Consider the following 13073-nt stretch of genomic DNA (forward strand, 5'->3'; position numbering starts at 1 on the left):
CTGGTCAACATGATGAAACCCCATCTCTACTAAAAATACAAAAAATTAGCTGGGCATGGTGGCGCATGCTTGTAGTCCCCGCCACTTGGGGGGCTGAGACAGGAGAATTGCTTGAACCCAGGAAGTGGAGGTTGCAGTGAGCCGAGATTGCTTCATTGCACTCCAGCAGCCTGGGAAACAAGAGCGAAACTCCGTCTAAAACAAACAAACAAAAAAGAATACCTCAAAATGATAAAAGGAGAAGTAATCAAATTTCTCAGACACTGAATAAGTAAAAACAGCTAACAGTAATAATTTGAAGAAAAAATGCATTCAGAATTACTTTGAAAAGCAGTGCTTAATCATAGTATATATAAGTAGTTCAATACTCATAGTATATATGAGTTTAGAATAGGAGTTTGGGACTTGCATAAGAAATAAAAGAATTATTTAAATTATTATATGCTTCAAGCATATTTCTACAAAAACAGTATTTGCGAAAGCATCCTATAAAATGTAAAACTGTCAGGTATTAATATTAAAGGTAACCCTAAAAATGTTTTTGTTTTGTTTCATTTTCATTTAACAATTTCTATTGAGAACCTAGACACCGAAAACGGAAGTAGGCAGTGGCAATGAGACTTAGTCACATCAGACAATATGCTGCACCATATTGCAAAGAAGGTACAGTATAGCAGAGGAAGACAGGGGAATAAGCACAATAAAGTGCAGTGGGAGAGATGATAGAAATGTATACAGGACCTAGGCACAACACAAAAGGAAATTAATCATACTTGGGGAAGAAGAGGTCGTGGCTATTCACCAAATAAAGAAGCAGTAGCAAAGACCTAGAGATAGAAACAGCTTTAGGTCTTCACAGAAATGCAATTAGTTCTTTCTGAAGGACTAATGGTAAGGTAGATCGACCATGGGGTAAGAAATAAACCTGGACAGCTCATGAAAGCCAGCCATGCTGAATAACTGAATAGCTTTTACTCCAGGATATAACTTACAGTCTTAAAAAGTAGAGATGTGGCCCACATGTTTGAAAGGTCACTGGTGGTAGTATGGAGATCAGGTTCTAATTGAGGGAAGGGAGTGGGTGAACATTTAGAAAAAGACCAATAGAAACTTCTTACATTGGTTTAGGTGAGGAAAGATGAAAGTCCTAACAAGAGTATTAGAACATTTATATTTTATAATCCTCTGATTTGCTTTGCAACAATTTTTACTCACTTTATACAGAACTTACTGAACTAAACTGATATGTGCAGCTCATATTACAGTAATGAAAAATGTACTAACTTGTGTAATGTGACAAATATCTTCTCTATCCTGCATAATTCTGGGGGACTCAATTATCTGCATTATAATAATCTCAACTAATACAGTGCAACAAACTTAATCTGAATAATTTATCAGATAATCTGATAATTCATCAGATTCAGTGTCCCAGAATCTGATGAATTATCAAATTCATCAGATTCAGTGTCCCAGAATCTGATGAATTATCAAATTCATCCTTGTCATAATTTTTTTGTCTCAAGACTCCTTTTGATTGTTAATATTATTGAGGAAACAAAAAATTCTTCTTTATAATGAGTTCAATGTATTGCCATTTACCATGTTAGAAAGCAGAAAAATCACAAGCACATCAATTAATAAATTTATAAATTATAATCATAAATCACATGTCAACAAAATAAATTTCAAGTGAAAATAACCATATTTCTAAAAGAAAAAGATCTAATGGGATGAGTGCTTGGCTAAGTTATGCAGGTCTTCAAAATATTGGAAGATTTCATTATTCATCTGTTAATATTACCACTAATCACATCAGAAACCCTGTAAGTTTTGAGAAGCTGTTGAGCTCATGGTGGCAGATGCATCTTTTTCAAAATAATAATTTTCTCTTGAAAGGCCAAATTTTGTCACTGACAACAAATATTGTCAAATGTATTTTTAAAATGACAGTCTCCATTTATTTTCAAAAATTTGTCTTTTCAATATCTGTTTGAATAATCACAATTTGTCTCTCAGTCATTTTTTCAAATAAAAATAGTATTCTATGGAAGTACAGCTAGTTTAGCTTGCAACTCAAACAACTACACAAGTGCTTTACCTTAAGACAACCAGCATTATTGTTGATATACAGCAGATGTTAATCATGTATACTTTCCATTTCTTCATGTATACTGAATATTAAAAATATGTGTACTTAATGGTATAGATTAAATAAAATTAATTTCTAGTGTTTCGTCAAAGACATTCTTTTAGTGCAACTGGCTTTAATTTTATTCATTTATTTATTTACTTATTTTTACTGGGAATGAATTACAGTGAAGAATACAATGACAGTATAGTTTGTTGTCACTGTCTTGATAAGTGTTAAGGCTAGGGGTTTCATTGTTCTTCCAAATGTCAACACAGTGAAAAAGGTAAATAATGTTTTTGTATCATTATGAAAATAGTTTGGACCTGATGAATCATTTAAAAAGTCTCAAGGGAATGCAAGAGCATCTGTGGACCACATTTTGAAAATAACTGCTAAAATCACATTAAGAATTTTTTGGCCGGGCACGGAGGTTCATGCCTGTAATCCCAGCACTTTGGGAGGCCAAGGCAGGCGGATCACGAGATCAGGAGTTCAGCCTGGCCAACATAGAAAAATTAGCTGGGTGTGGTAGTGTGCGCCTGTAATCCCAGCTACTCAGGAGGCTGAGGCAGGAGAATCGCTTGAACCCAGGAGGCGGAGATTGCAGTGAGCCGAGATCCTGCCATTGCACTCCAGCCTGGGCAATAGAGTGAGACTCTGTCTCAAAAAAAAAAATTTTTTTTTTGATTTTTTGGATTATATTCTATATGCATTAAAGACTATGAACATTCTGAGAACATGACTGTGAAAAGTTTTTTTTATATGTTACTGAATGGAAGGAGGGTTAGAAATCAGCAGAGTATGCAAAAACAGAGTAAAACAAAATGCCTAGGAATGAAAAAAAAAAGAGAGAGAGAGAGAGAGAGTCAGGGAGAGTAAGATAAAGTTTGGTCCCAGAGAAGATACAGTCAAGATTCCACTTTTTGCTATTCCACAGAGATTTCAGGAAGAAAAATCACACTCCTATTTTCTTTTTCTTTGCTTACTGATTTCTATTTAGTTTCTTTTTTTTTTTTTTTTTTTTTTTTTTTTGAGAAAGCGTCTCACTCTCTTGCGCAGGCTGGAGTGCAGTGGCTAGATTCTTCTTGAGTATGCTCAAACTTCCTTTTTGGAATGTCTTCCAAAGGCACTCTTGCCTTCATTTGTACAAGTTGATTGACCCTTTAAAGGCCTTAAATATTATTGTGCGACCTCACAGACTCCTCAAATCACCTGAAACCTGAAATGCTGAGGCCCAGGTGGCACTGAAATGATGGTATTCTAGACCTGACACCGGACTGTTTTCTCCTTGGTTTTGTCCCAACACACTGACATACATAGCCCAAAATACTACTGGCCTTTTTAAGTGGCATATCACATTCCAGGGTAATATCAAAACTGCTGCCTGGTAGCATTTGTGAAGTCTCAAAGTAACTCTTTCCAGGATTTTCAAATCCACTGAATTTCTTAGATTGAAATATGTATGTGACAGAATTCTCTTAGCTTTCTTTCCTCTATGAATATGTAATTGGAAACTCTGAGATCCGGTTTCTCATCTTTATTGGATTTTTTCTTTAATCTTAAAATTATGAATATTTGCTTTACAATAATCTAGATAAGGAGTCCCCAACCTTTTTGGCACCAGGGACTGGTTTTGTGGAAGACAGTTGTTCCACGGACATTGTGGGGAGTGGGGGCTGGCATTAGAATCTCATAAGGAGCACACAACCTAGATCCTGTGCATGCACAGTTCACAATAGGGTTTGTGCTCCTATGAGAATCTAATGCCGCCACTGATCTGACAGGAGGCGGAGCTCAGGCTGTAATGCTCCCTGGCCCACTGCTCACCTCCTACTGTGCGACCCAGTTCCTAACAGGCCAGGGACCAGTACTGGTCCGTGGCCCAGGGTTTGGGGACCCTTAATCTGATGTTACTAAGTTACATCATTAATAATCTATTTCTCCTCACACAGATTTCTTTCCTCACATCCTCAACACATATAATTTCACATCTCCAAATGCAGCATTCCCTAATAATTACCCTTCTTACTCCATTCTGCCACCTCTGGCTCATTTTCACTTGCCATTCCATTTGATAATCTAGTAACTTCATTTTGCCAACTTGATGAATTTGGTTCTAAGTAGTTTAAAAATTTAAGGACATACTATGTCAGTATTTACAGGTGCTTCTTATTTATTCTTCAGTATTCTCAAATGTTCAATTTGAGGTCAAGTTTTGCTAAAAACAACTCATTGCAAATAGTAGATGTTTTATAAATATAAGATAAATTTCTTAAAATTCGTGCTGAGTTCTAAAGAGAAAACTTAGGTTACCAAGTAACATGATTTTCAGAACACCACCAATTTGCTATTTCAAGTCTAATTTTATATTAGACCGATTCCCAAAGCTTTTCCATTGTTACAAAATTTTCAAAATACTGTACTTTTATTATACAAGGTTTGTGGCCTAGTTTTATTAATATTCCAAAAGACAAAATATTCAAACATTCAATTGTTTCATCAATAATTTAAACTAAATTTACTATTTTGATTAAAGATACAATGAGTATCTTTGCATGAAATAGATTACTAAATTCTATTTGAAAACTAATGTACACTTTTATTCTAGTTTTTAAGGCAACATATGTTTATTTTGAACTTTATTTTAAGAAAACATACCAAAACAATGCCAAATTGTTTGGTAAGAAACAATACCAAAGCATTTGAAAAAATAAATTATTAACAATAATAATTTTGTTGTGTAAAATTGTGAGTTATTTCATCATTTTATTAATTTATATTTCCCTTTTGCTTTATGTATTACTTTTGCTTTATGTATTACTTTTGTCATAAGAAAAATAAGATGTAATATTCTATTTAAATTTTTTTTTTGTTTTATGCACTTTATGTTCCTTTTTTATGTACTTTATGTTCCTTTTCCTTTATGTATTACTTTTATTATAAGAAAAAATAAGATGTAATATTCTATTTTTAAAACAAAAACTTTATAAAGAAGAAAACAGAAATCCTAATTCTATAAACCAGAGATAACTATTATATTATCTTCAGGGCTTTTTCTAAGGAAAAACATGTTTGTTTTTTTTCCGTAATTGGGGCCATCCTAGATATATATGTTTGTAAGGTACTTTTTAATATACTATTATAACCTGGGCAATTTTATATAGAATTAAATATTCATTGAAACATTATGTTTAATGGTACTATAATATTTCATCATTTGCCTAGACTATGATTTATTTAGCCATTCTTTCAACCTTCCAGCATTGTGTATGTAGACTGTTTTCTTTTTTCTTTTCTCTTTTTTTTTTTTTTTTTTTTTTTTTTTTGAGACAGAGTCTTGCTCTGTCATCCAGACGCCAGGCCGGAGTGCAGTGGCATGATCTCGGCTTGCTGCAACCTCCACCTCCCGGGTTCAAGTGACTCTCCTGGCTCAGCCTCCTGAGTAGCTGGGACTGCAGGTGCACACCACCATGCCTGGCTAATTTTTTTGTATTTTTAGTAGAGACGGGGTTTCACCATGTTGGCCAGGCTGGTCCCAAACTCCTGACCTCAGGTGATCTGCCCACCTTGGCCTTCCAAAGTGCTGGAATTACAGGTTTGAGCCACTGTATCTGGCCTATGTAGACTATTAATCTCTCCAATTTTGTTTGGGTTGAATTAGTTTTCCTATATGGGGATAGTTTGGTGGAAATGTCAGTCAAGGAACTGTTAGTTAAGTTTACTCTTAACTAAAAGGATCAGATTCATGACCCAAACTTGACCAACCAGATGTTTACTTCCTGGAATTTTGGTGTTAAACATGAATGTCAGGAAAAAAAAGAAAAAAAAAAAAAAAGAAAAAGAAAGAAAGACAAAGAGCCTGAAAGCAGTTGAGCTGATTCATTCTAGATTACAGCACCTTACAGAAACCACCAAAAGTCTACCAACTGGGCTATCTGCTCTTATAGTTTTCTCTGCTCCTGGCATTTTTCAGTCTAGATTGTAGCTATCCCTTAACTCTGTGAACTATAATATCTTTTGAAGACATTGCTTTTATACTTAAATTAACCTGAGTCAGTTTCAGTTACTTATTGTAATACTTTAATTTTTTTTTACCAATTCCCCATGAATTCCTAATTTTATATCCTTTTCTGTCACTTTCCTCACTGAAATAAATGAGCATCTTAATTCTTATCACAGATCATGAATGTAAATGTGACATTATAGGCACAGCAGTGGAATCAGTGTCACCATCATTTTATTTCTGCCCCCACTTTGTTAGTCATCATGCCTGTAATTACAAACCTAATTAATTGCCTTTATTAGAATCTTAACACATACACAGATAACTCATTATTATCCAGTAGGAGGAGGGTATGAATAATGAAAATCCATCATTTATAAAATAACCACAACAGTTTCATCAACAACAAAAAAATATCAATTTAACCTTCTTTGCTTATGATTTTAGTAGTCATAAGTATTGCCAGAGACAACTGTTAGAGGCTGAATTGTATCCTCCCCAAATCCATATGTTGGAGTCTCAAACTCCGGTACCTCAGAATGTGACTGTGTTAGGAGTTAGAGCCTTTGAAGAAGTGGTTTAGTGAAATGAGACTTTTAGGGTGAACCACAATCCAATATGACTTGTGTCCTTAAAAGAAGATGAAATTTAGACAGAAAAGAGACACCAGGAATGCACATGCACAGAGGAAAAGACAGACATCAGCAAGCCAAGGAGACGGGCTTTAGAAGACACCAAACTTCCCAGTACCTTGTTCTTGGACTTCGAGCCTCCAGAACTGTGATAAATACTGTTATTTAAGCCACCCTGTCTGTGGTACTTTGTCATGGTAGCCCAAGTTAACTAATACAGAAACCAACCCTATTTGAATGGCACACCTCTATCTCAAGTTCAGTAGTTTCCCCAATGGTATCTGTGAAACAAAAGCATACTAGCAACATATATTACAAAGAACATGGATAATATTTGTGTAACTTTGGGAAAGCATGTGCAATACAGTAAATATGTTTCTTTGGAATAAATATAACCTTTCCCTGGAAATATTTGCTCATTATCTCCTTAAATTTTCAGTGGAGTCACAAATGAATATGTTTCCAATAATGAGAAGAAACATTTTGTTGTGAAGTTAGATCAATAAAGTGTTTAATAGTTAAGGGTATATGGATCAGTTTTCTGATTCTTTAAAGTTATGTGGATTCTCAAGAACAAAGAATCTCACTGACCTTTTCTTAAAAGATATATCCCTAGTACCCACTGTAAGAAATAATTGATGCTAAAATCATAAACGCATGGACAACAATGTTAATAAGACAATTCACCGGGGAAAGAATTGTCTTTTCAACACGTGGTGCTGGGACAACTAGATATGAACAAACAAAAGAGTAATGCTGAACCCCTACCTCACATTATATGCAAAAAGTTGACTCAGAATGAATCCTAGATCTAAATGCAAGAGCTAAAATTATACAACTAGTTGAAAAATAATAGAAGTAAATTTTTATGACCTCAGATTAGGCAACGGTTTCTTATACATGAGACTAAAAGCACAAGTGACAAAAGAAAAAAGTTAGAGTAGATTCTTCATCAAAATTAAATCTAAGTTTGTAGGTAGAGCACCAAAGGAGAAACAGGCAATATGATAAGGCAAAGACTTTTGACCATTTACAGAGAAAAGCTAAAATGTCAGGTTGATTCTAAGTTAGAAGAGAAGCAAATTCACATTTTCTAGAGAAGAACTACAGTGTCCATAGGTAACTGAGAATGAGGGGAAGCAAATAGTGAAAAAAATATAAAAAGATAAACCATTGGAATATGAGTCTTGAAGGAATAAAAATATGGTAACAAAAGTTTTAACATAGATGAAAATGAAAGCTGATGTTTATCAAATTATTTTGAAATCACATTCCTACTCATTCATTTGCAAAAAAAAAAAAAAAAAAAAAAAAAAAAAAAAAAAAAAAGATTTGTTCAAATCCCTCCAAGCAGCTCCTGTGTCCTGGCCACTATGGGGGATGTAAACACTGGTTTTCATGCTTAGTGTCTCTTTCTTGCCTGCACCTGGTCAGTGTATCATTTCTGGAGGAAGAAAAACTGACTGGGTGACTATATCATTCTAACCAATGATCTCATTCAAACAATTTTTTTTTCATCAAATAGTACCTTTTCAATATTTTTTAATTTTTAAAAAAGTTTTTAGACAAGAGCAGTAGTGAGAAGAGGGGAAAGCGTAGAACAAGGAGTTTGATCTGTAACTGACTGTGAACAATCAACTGAGATAACTCACTACCTTTGGATCAGTTCTTTTCAACATTTTTGAGGCAATTTTTTTGCATTCTAGGAACTGCAACATTTTTTCAGAGAACTTTACAAACTCTCAAAACTTTTTTTTGTGAAAATGACTGATTTATGTTTTTTTTAAACCTAATAACTTGTTAACATTGAATGTTTTAAATTTATTTGACATAACTCTTTGATTTGTTTTTTTAAAAGTCGGGGGCAGTTAGAGCCCTAAGCCCAATCTCTGAGATTCCACAGATCTGGCTGCACACCTCTATGGTGCTATTTCTGTTCGTTTCTTTTACTTTCAGGATCACCCACAAGGTTTGTGCCACTCTTCATACCTGTGAGGCACTTCACCCTTTAGCACCTTTGATTCAATCCATCATTGGCCTCATTAGATTTCTGCTTAAAAAAACTTTTTCTCCACCTCTTTCATTATTTTCTGTTTGCATGCCCCTCTCATCCTCACTATCTCTTTATCTTGCAGTATTTTTCTTCAAAGAACTTACATTTACTGACATTTCTTTGCACATTGATTTGCCTACTGTCCAACTCTATCACCAGACTGAAAGCTGCATGTGGGTAGGAATTTTGCTTTATTCACCACATTCCTGCACTTAGAACGCAGACCCTTCTATCTTCTATTGTACAGGAGAGCTTTTTTTTTTTTAATTTTTTAACAAATAGCCCGGTGTGATGGCTCACTCCTGTAATCCCAGCACTTTGGGAGGCTGAGGCAGGCAGATCACTTGAGGTCAGGAGATCGAGACTAGCCGGGCCAACATAGTGAAACCCCATCTCTACAAAATACAAAAATTAGCCAGGCATGGTGACACTCGCCTGTAGTCCCAGCTACTGGGGAGGCTGAGGCAGGAGAATCACTTCAACCCGGGAGGCAGAAATTGCAGTGAGCCAAGAACGTGCCACTGCACTGCAGCCTGGGTGACAGAGTGAGACTCTGTCTCAAAAAAACAACAAACAAACAAACAAACAAATGGAGTGGATTTGGGTAATCATTCTAAACCAAACTGTTTTTGGAATTTTGGCATGTCAGAAAGCAGATGAATTACAGCTCACATGTACGACTGCACCCAACTTCAGTCCTGAGTCTCTTGGCTAAGCTGTAGCTCTACCATCACATGGATGATGAGCAAACATCAAGAACACAGACGCCATGGCCACGGTGTGGCTGGACTGCTTGGATTCTGCCACTTACTAACTGTATAACCCAGCAAGTTAATTGAACCTCACTGTGCCTTGGTTTTGTCACCTGTAAAATTAACAATAGTATCTACCTCATAGGATTAAATGAGATCATATTTGCAAAGTACTGCTTAGGATAGTGGCTGGCACAGAGTAAATGCTATATGTTTTTGATAAATAAAACAATTAATAAATGGAAATCTAGGAATGTGGACAAAATTTAAAAGTTGGAAAAGCAAACTTTGGGGCAGCTTGGGGAATTCTGTCACAACTTATTTTTCTGATCACAAGTGCAATGAGAATAAATTTCTTCCCACCCTACCCTAAACTAATGCAATCTCAATTGAGCGGTGGAACATGCTTCATTCACTAATTAGAATTTAAAAAGGAAGTGATAACCTCACGGAGCACAGCCCCATTGACCCTGAGGGTGACTATACAGGACCTTCAATTGCTGATTCTCTCCCATCCTTCTCTGGGATCTGTTTCTCCCACCCTCCCCATTCTGAGGTAGCTGGAAGAGAGTAGGCTTTGTGCCCTTTGGCGAGTACAGGGAGAAAATAGTAGGTTCAGCCTCTCCAACTGCCCAGGGAGAAAGCAATACCTTTCAAGGTCCCCAGGCTAAATTTTGGAGGGATGCTTTTGTGTGTCACTGTCAGGCTCACACCGACATAAACCCTTGAGAAATGCCTGGTTGGTGACGTCCTAGAGGTAACACCAAGCAAGCCCCAGATTTTCTCTTCTTCGTCAGCAATTCCCAGATGAGGTGCTCTTGTGTTTACCCTCTCTGATTGTCTGGATTCCCTGATAGTACCCTCTATACAAGGAACTAGAATGTTTCTTACTGGATTCCTCTGTTGGTGGTGATAGAGTTTACTTTGGGTATCTAGTCGGTCTGGTTGCCCCTGGTATCTCTGGTTGGTACAACAGAATCCTGACTGAGCTCCTTAGTGCCTTCTTGAATACTGTATAATTAACTAGGCCTCCAATTGTGCCCCGCCTTGCCCCAGCCCATAGATGGACAATCCCTCCTGCCATGTCTTAAAGAGAAATTACCATAATAAATGACTCTCCAGACAGCACATTTCCCAGCAAGAGGGGGCATGTAAACCAAGTCTATTAGTATTGGCAGCAAAATCCAATGTGTTATTGTTACCAGTATGAACACTCTGGGTATCCTGGCCTCCTATATAGATATTTGAAACAAAACAGACAAACAATGTGAAGGAAGGAGGAAAAACAGCCACACAAATGAGTTACAGTGAGTTTAATGAAAACTAATTCCATTGCTGGGTCCATGTGATATAACCAGCCACTTGTGCTCTGTTCTAGTGGTTTATAATGTTACCTCACCCTCTCCAAGAAATTGGTTTCCCGTAAATCTCTGTGGCCATTCATTCCTGTCTACACATTATGTTCCTAAAATAGACACCAGCTAAAAATCTCTTCCAGGAGCTTTGTGAAGGAAGGCCTAAATTGCAAAACTCCTCCTAGAAGAGAGATGTGATTTTGTAATTGCTTCATTGCAATTACAAAAGCAACAATCATAAAAGAGAGTTTTAAAAGAGTTTTTCACCACAGTCATTCTCCTGAAATGCACAGCTGAGGGAAAGAAGAATGTCAGATGCCCCGCGAACGTGCAGAAGCTCCCAGTTGCATCACCCTGGCGTGCCAGGTATTGCAGCAAATAGGAAAGGTAAGCTACCCACTTCTCTGGGCAGGAGAAACTAAAGCAGGAATCACCAACCTCAGCATGGAATTTTCCTATTTCTGTCTGGCAACATCCTCTTGGGATGATTTAAAGTGCTTTTTGGAGAAATATGTTCTGTTACTATACTAGCGCATCAGAAATACCACGTGAACCTGTAAATCCATAGAAGAAGAAGACACATTTTATAGGTGTGATAGCAACAGCAATTGGCAATTTGCAAGTTTGCTACTGCACTCAGAAATATTTAGTCACATGCACATATTGACAGTAATATACCCTGCCTTGACTTAATTGTTGCATTGGACAGGTGAAAAGCACATACCCACCACTCCAGACCGATTTGTTAACAATCACCAGTGAGTAATCAAAGAGAACAAAAAGAAATGAGAAGTAAATGCAGCAAGTGGGTCGGGTCTTTAAACACATACCTCAAACAGGTAGGAGTCAGGAAATCCATGATAGCAAAGACATTTGGACAAGCCTCACCTCCACTCAGAAATAATTCTTATGCTGTTCTGAAAAGCAAGACGGTTCACACTAGGAACTGAGCAGTATCTGCAGTATCATTGCTGGTTGTGACCTCTGTCTAAGTAAAAGTAAGTCAATGTTTCCTATTTGGCATTGGATAGAAAAGGGGACTCTTTACCACTCTGCTCAAGCTCTTTTTTAGTGTGGCTCAATAGGAGTTGGCAGAGGTGGGGGGCGGAAATCATTGCCCCTTCCTTGTTCAAGGCATGAGGCATTTCTTCTCAAAAGCCCAGCCTCAGCCTCAGGAAGCTGAATACCCCTGCAATGCTAGGCTCCAGCAGCAGCCCCGCTGCCTTCTTTCTTCCTGTGGAGTTAAAACTGAGATCTAATTTTTGCTCCGTCCTTAAGAACAATATGACCTCTATTCCCAGCCAGCTAGTCCACTTCCAAAGCACCAGTGAAGGAGGGGGCTTCAACAGGATCAAAAGGGACCTTGAATAGGATGAAGGCAAGCAAAGGCAAGAACTGGCCAGATGCCAAGCTATTTCAGGCCAAAGAATCCCATCTTCTATCAAAATGCTGAACTGCAAAACAAACCTGATTTCAGTTCATGGAAGGTTGAGAGAGGAGGGGGGAGGGGAGGGGAGGAGAAGAGGAGGAGAGGGAGGAGGGGGACAGTTGGTCTGAATACACATACAAAAATGGACTTCCTGCTCTGCCCAAACTGAATTTCCATGGACTCTTTTTCCAAAGGAATAACTGGAATGAATAAACTTAAAATCAAGATGAAACAATTAGATGGCTTACCTGATTAAAAGGAAAATTATCCATCTGCAGTGAGGAACAGCATCACCCAAAGACGAGATGATAACAATGTGCCTTCAGTTGCAATTGTTCAGATTCCTTCTTGCAAAAGGTGTCAAAGTATTTACAAGGGCTGCAGTCTCACTGGGGCAGAACACACAGACACACAAACACACACAAACGCACACATACACACATGCACCAGAGACCTCTGCAGTATCCTCTCGGCTTCATCCTCGCCTCACTCTATGGTACCTAATACAAATCAGCAAATAGCTTGTTTCAAAAAAAAAAAAAAAAAGTCAAGACAGCACCTTACATTACATCGCCATCTAGTGGCTAAATATTAAACACTTTCTCACAATCCAGATTTATGATTTCTTCCTCAACCTCTTTTCTCTCAGCCTTTTTTCCTTTCTTCTCTGTAATCTCCCAGTATTGCTTCTCCTTGCTTCTCTTTCATTCCCTAT

At 37.2% G+C, this 13073-nt stretch overlaps 1 protein-coding gene and 1 long non-coding RNA gene across 19 annotated transcripts in view; one reads left to right on the forward strand and one right to left on the reverse strand.

Annotated features, from left to right (window-relative positions):
- Positions 1–13073, reverse strand: part of SCN1A (sodium voltage-gated channel alpha subunit 1) — a 164521-nt gene that overhangs the window by 130524 nt on the left and 20924 nt on the right. For 11 of the 18 annotated variants that reach the window (NM_001353955.2, NM_001353957.2, NM_001353951.2 and 8 more), the window contains exon 1: positions 12607–12856. The exons of 4 other annotated variants lie outside the window; for them this stretch is intronic. The gene's annotated coding sequence lies outside the window, so the exon portion shown is untranslated. Of the gene's footprint in view, positions 1–11759; positions 11847–12606; positions 12857–13073 lie in introns of those variants that run through there. 3 more of the 18 variants (NR_148667.2, NM_006920.6, NM_001165963.4) reach the window with 1 other exon arrangement.
- The window catches only part of SCN1A-AS1 (SCN1A and SCN9A antisense RNA 1), a 220254-nt gene that overhangs the window by 33634 nt on the left and 173547 nt on the right, over positions 1–13073 (forward strand). The gene's annotated exons all lie outside the window — the stretch shown is intronic.

The sequence above is a fragment of the Homo sapiens genome, chromosome 2 (assembly GCF_000001405.40).
Source record: "Homo sapiens chromosome 2, GRCh38.p14 Primary Assembly".
NCBI classification, from domain to species: domain Eukaryota; kingdom Metazoa; phylum Chordata; class Mammalia; order Primates; family Hominidae; genus Homo; species Homo sapiens.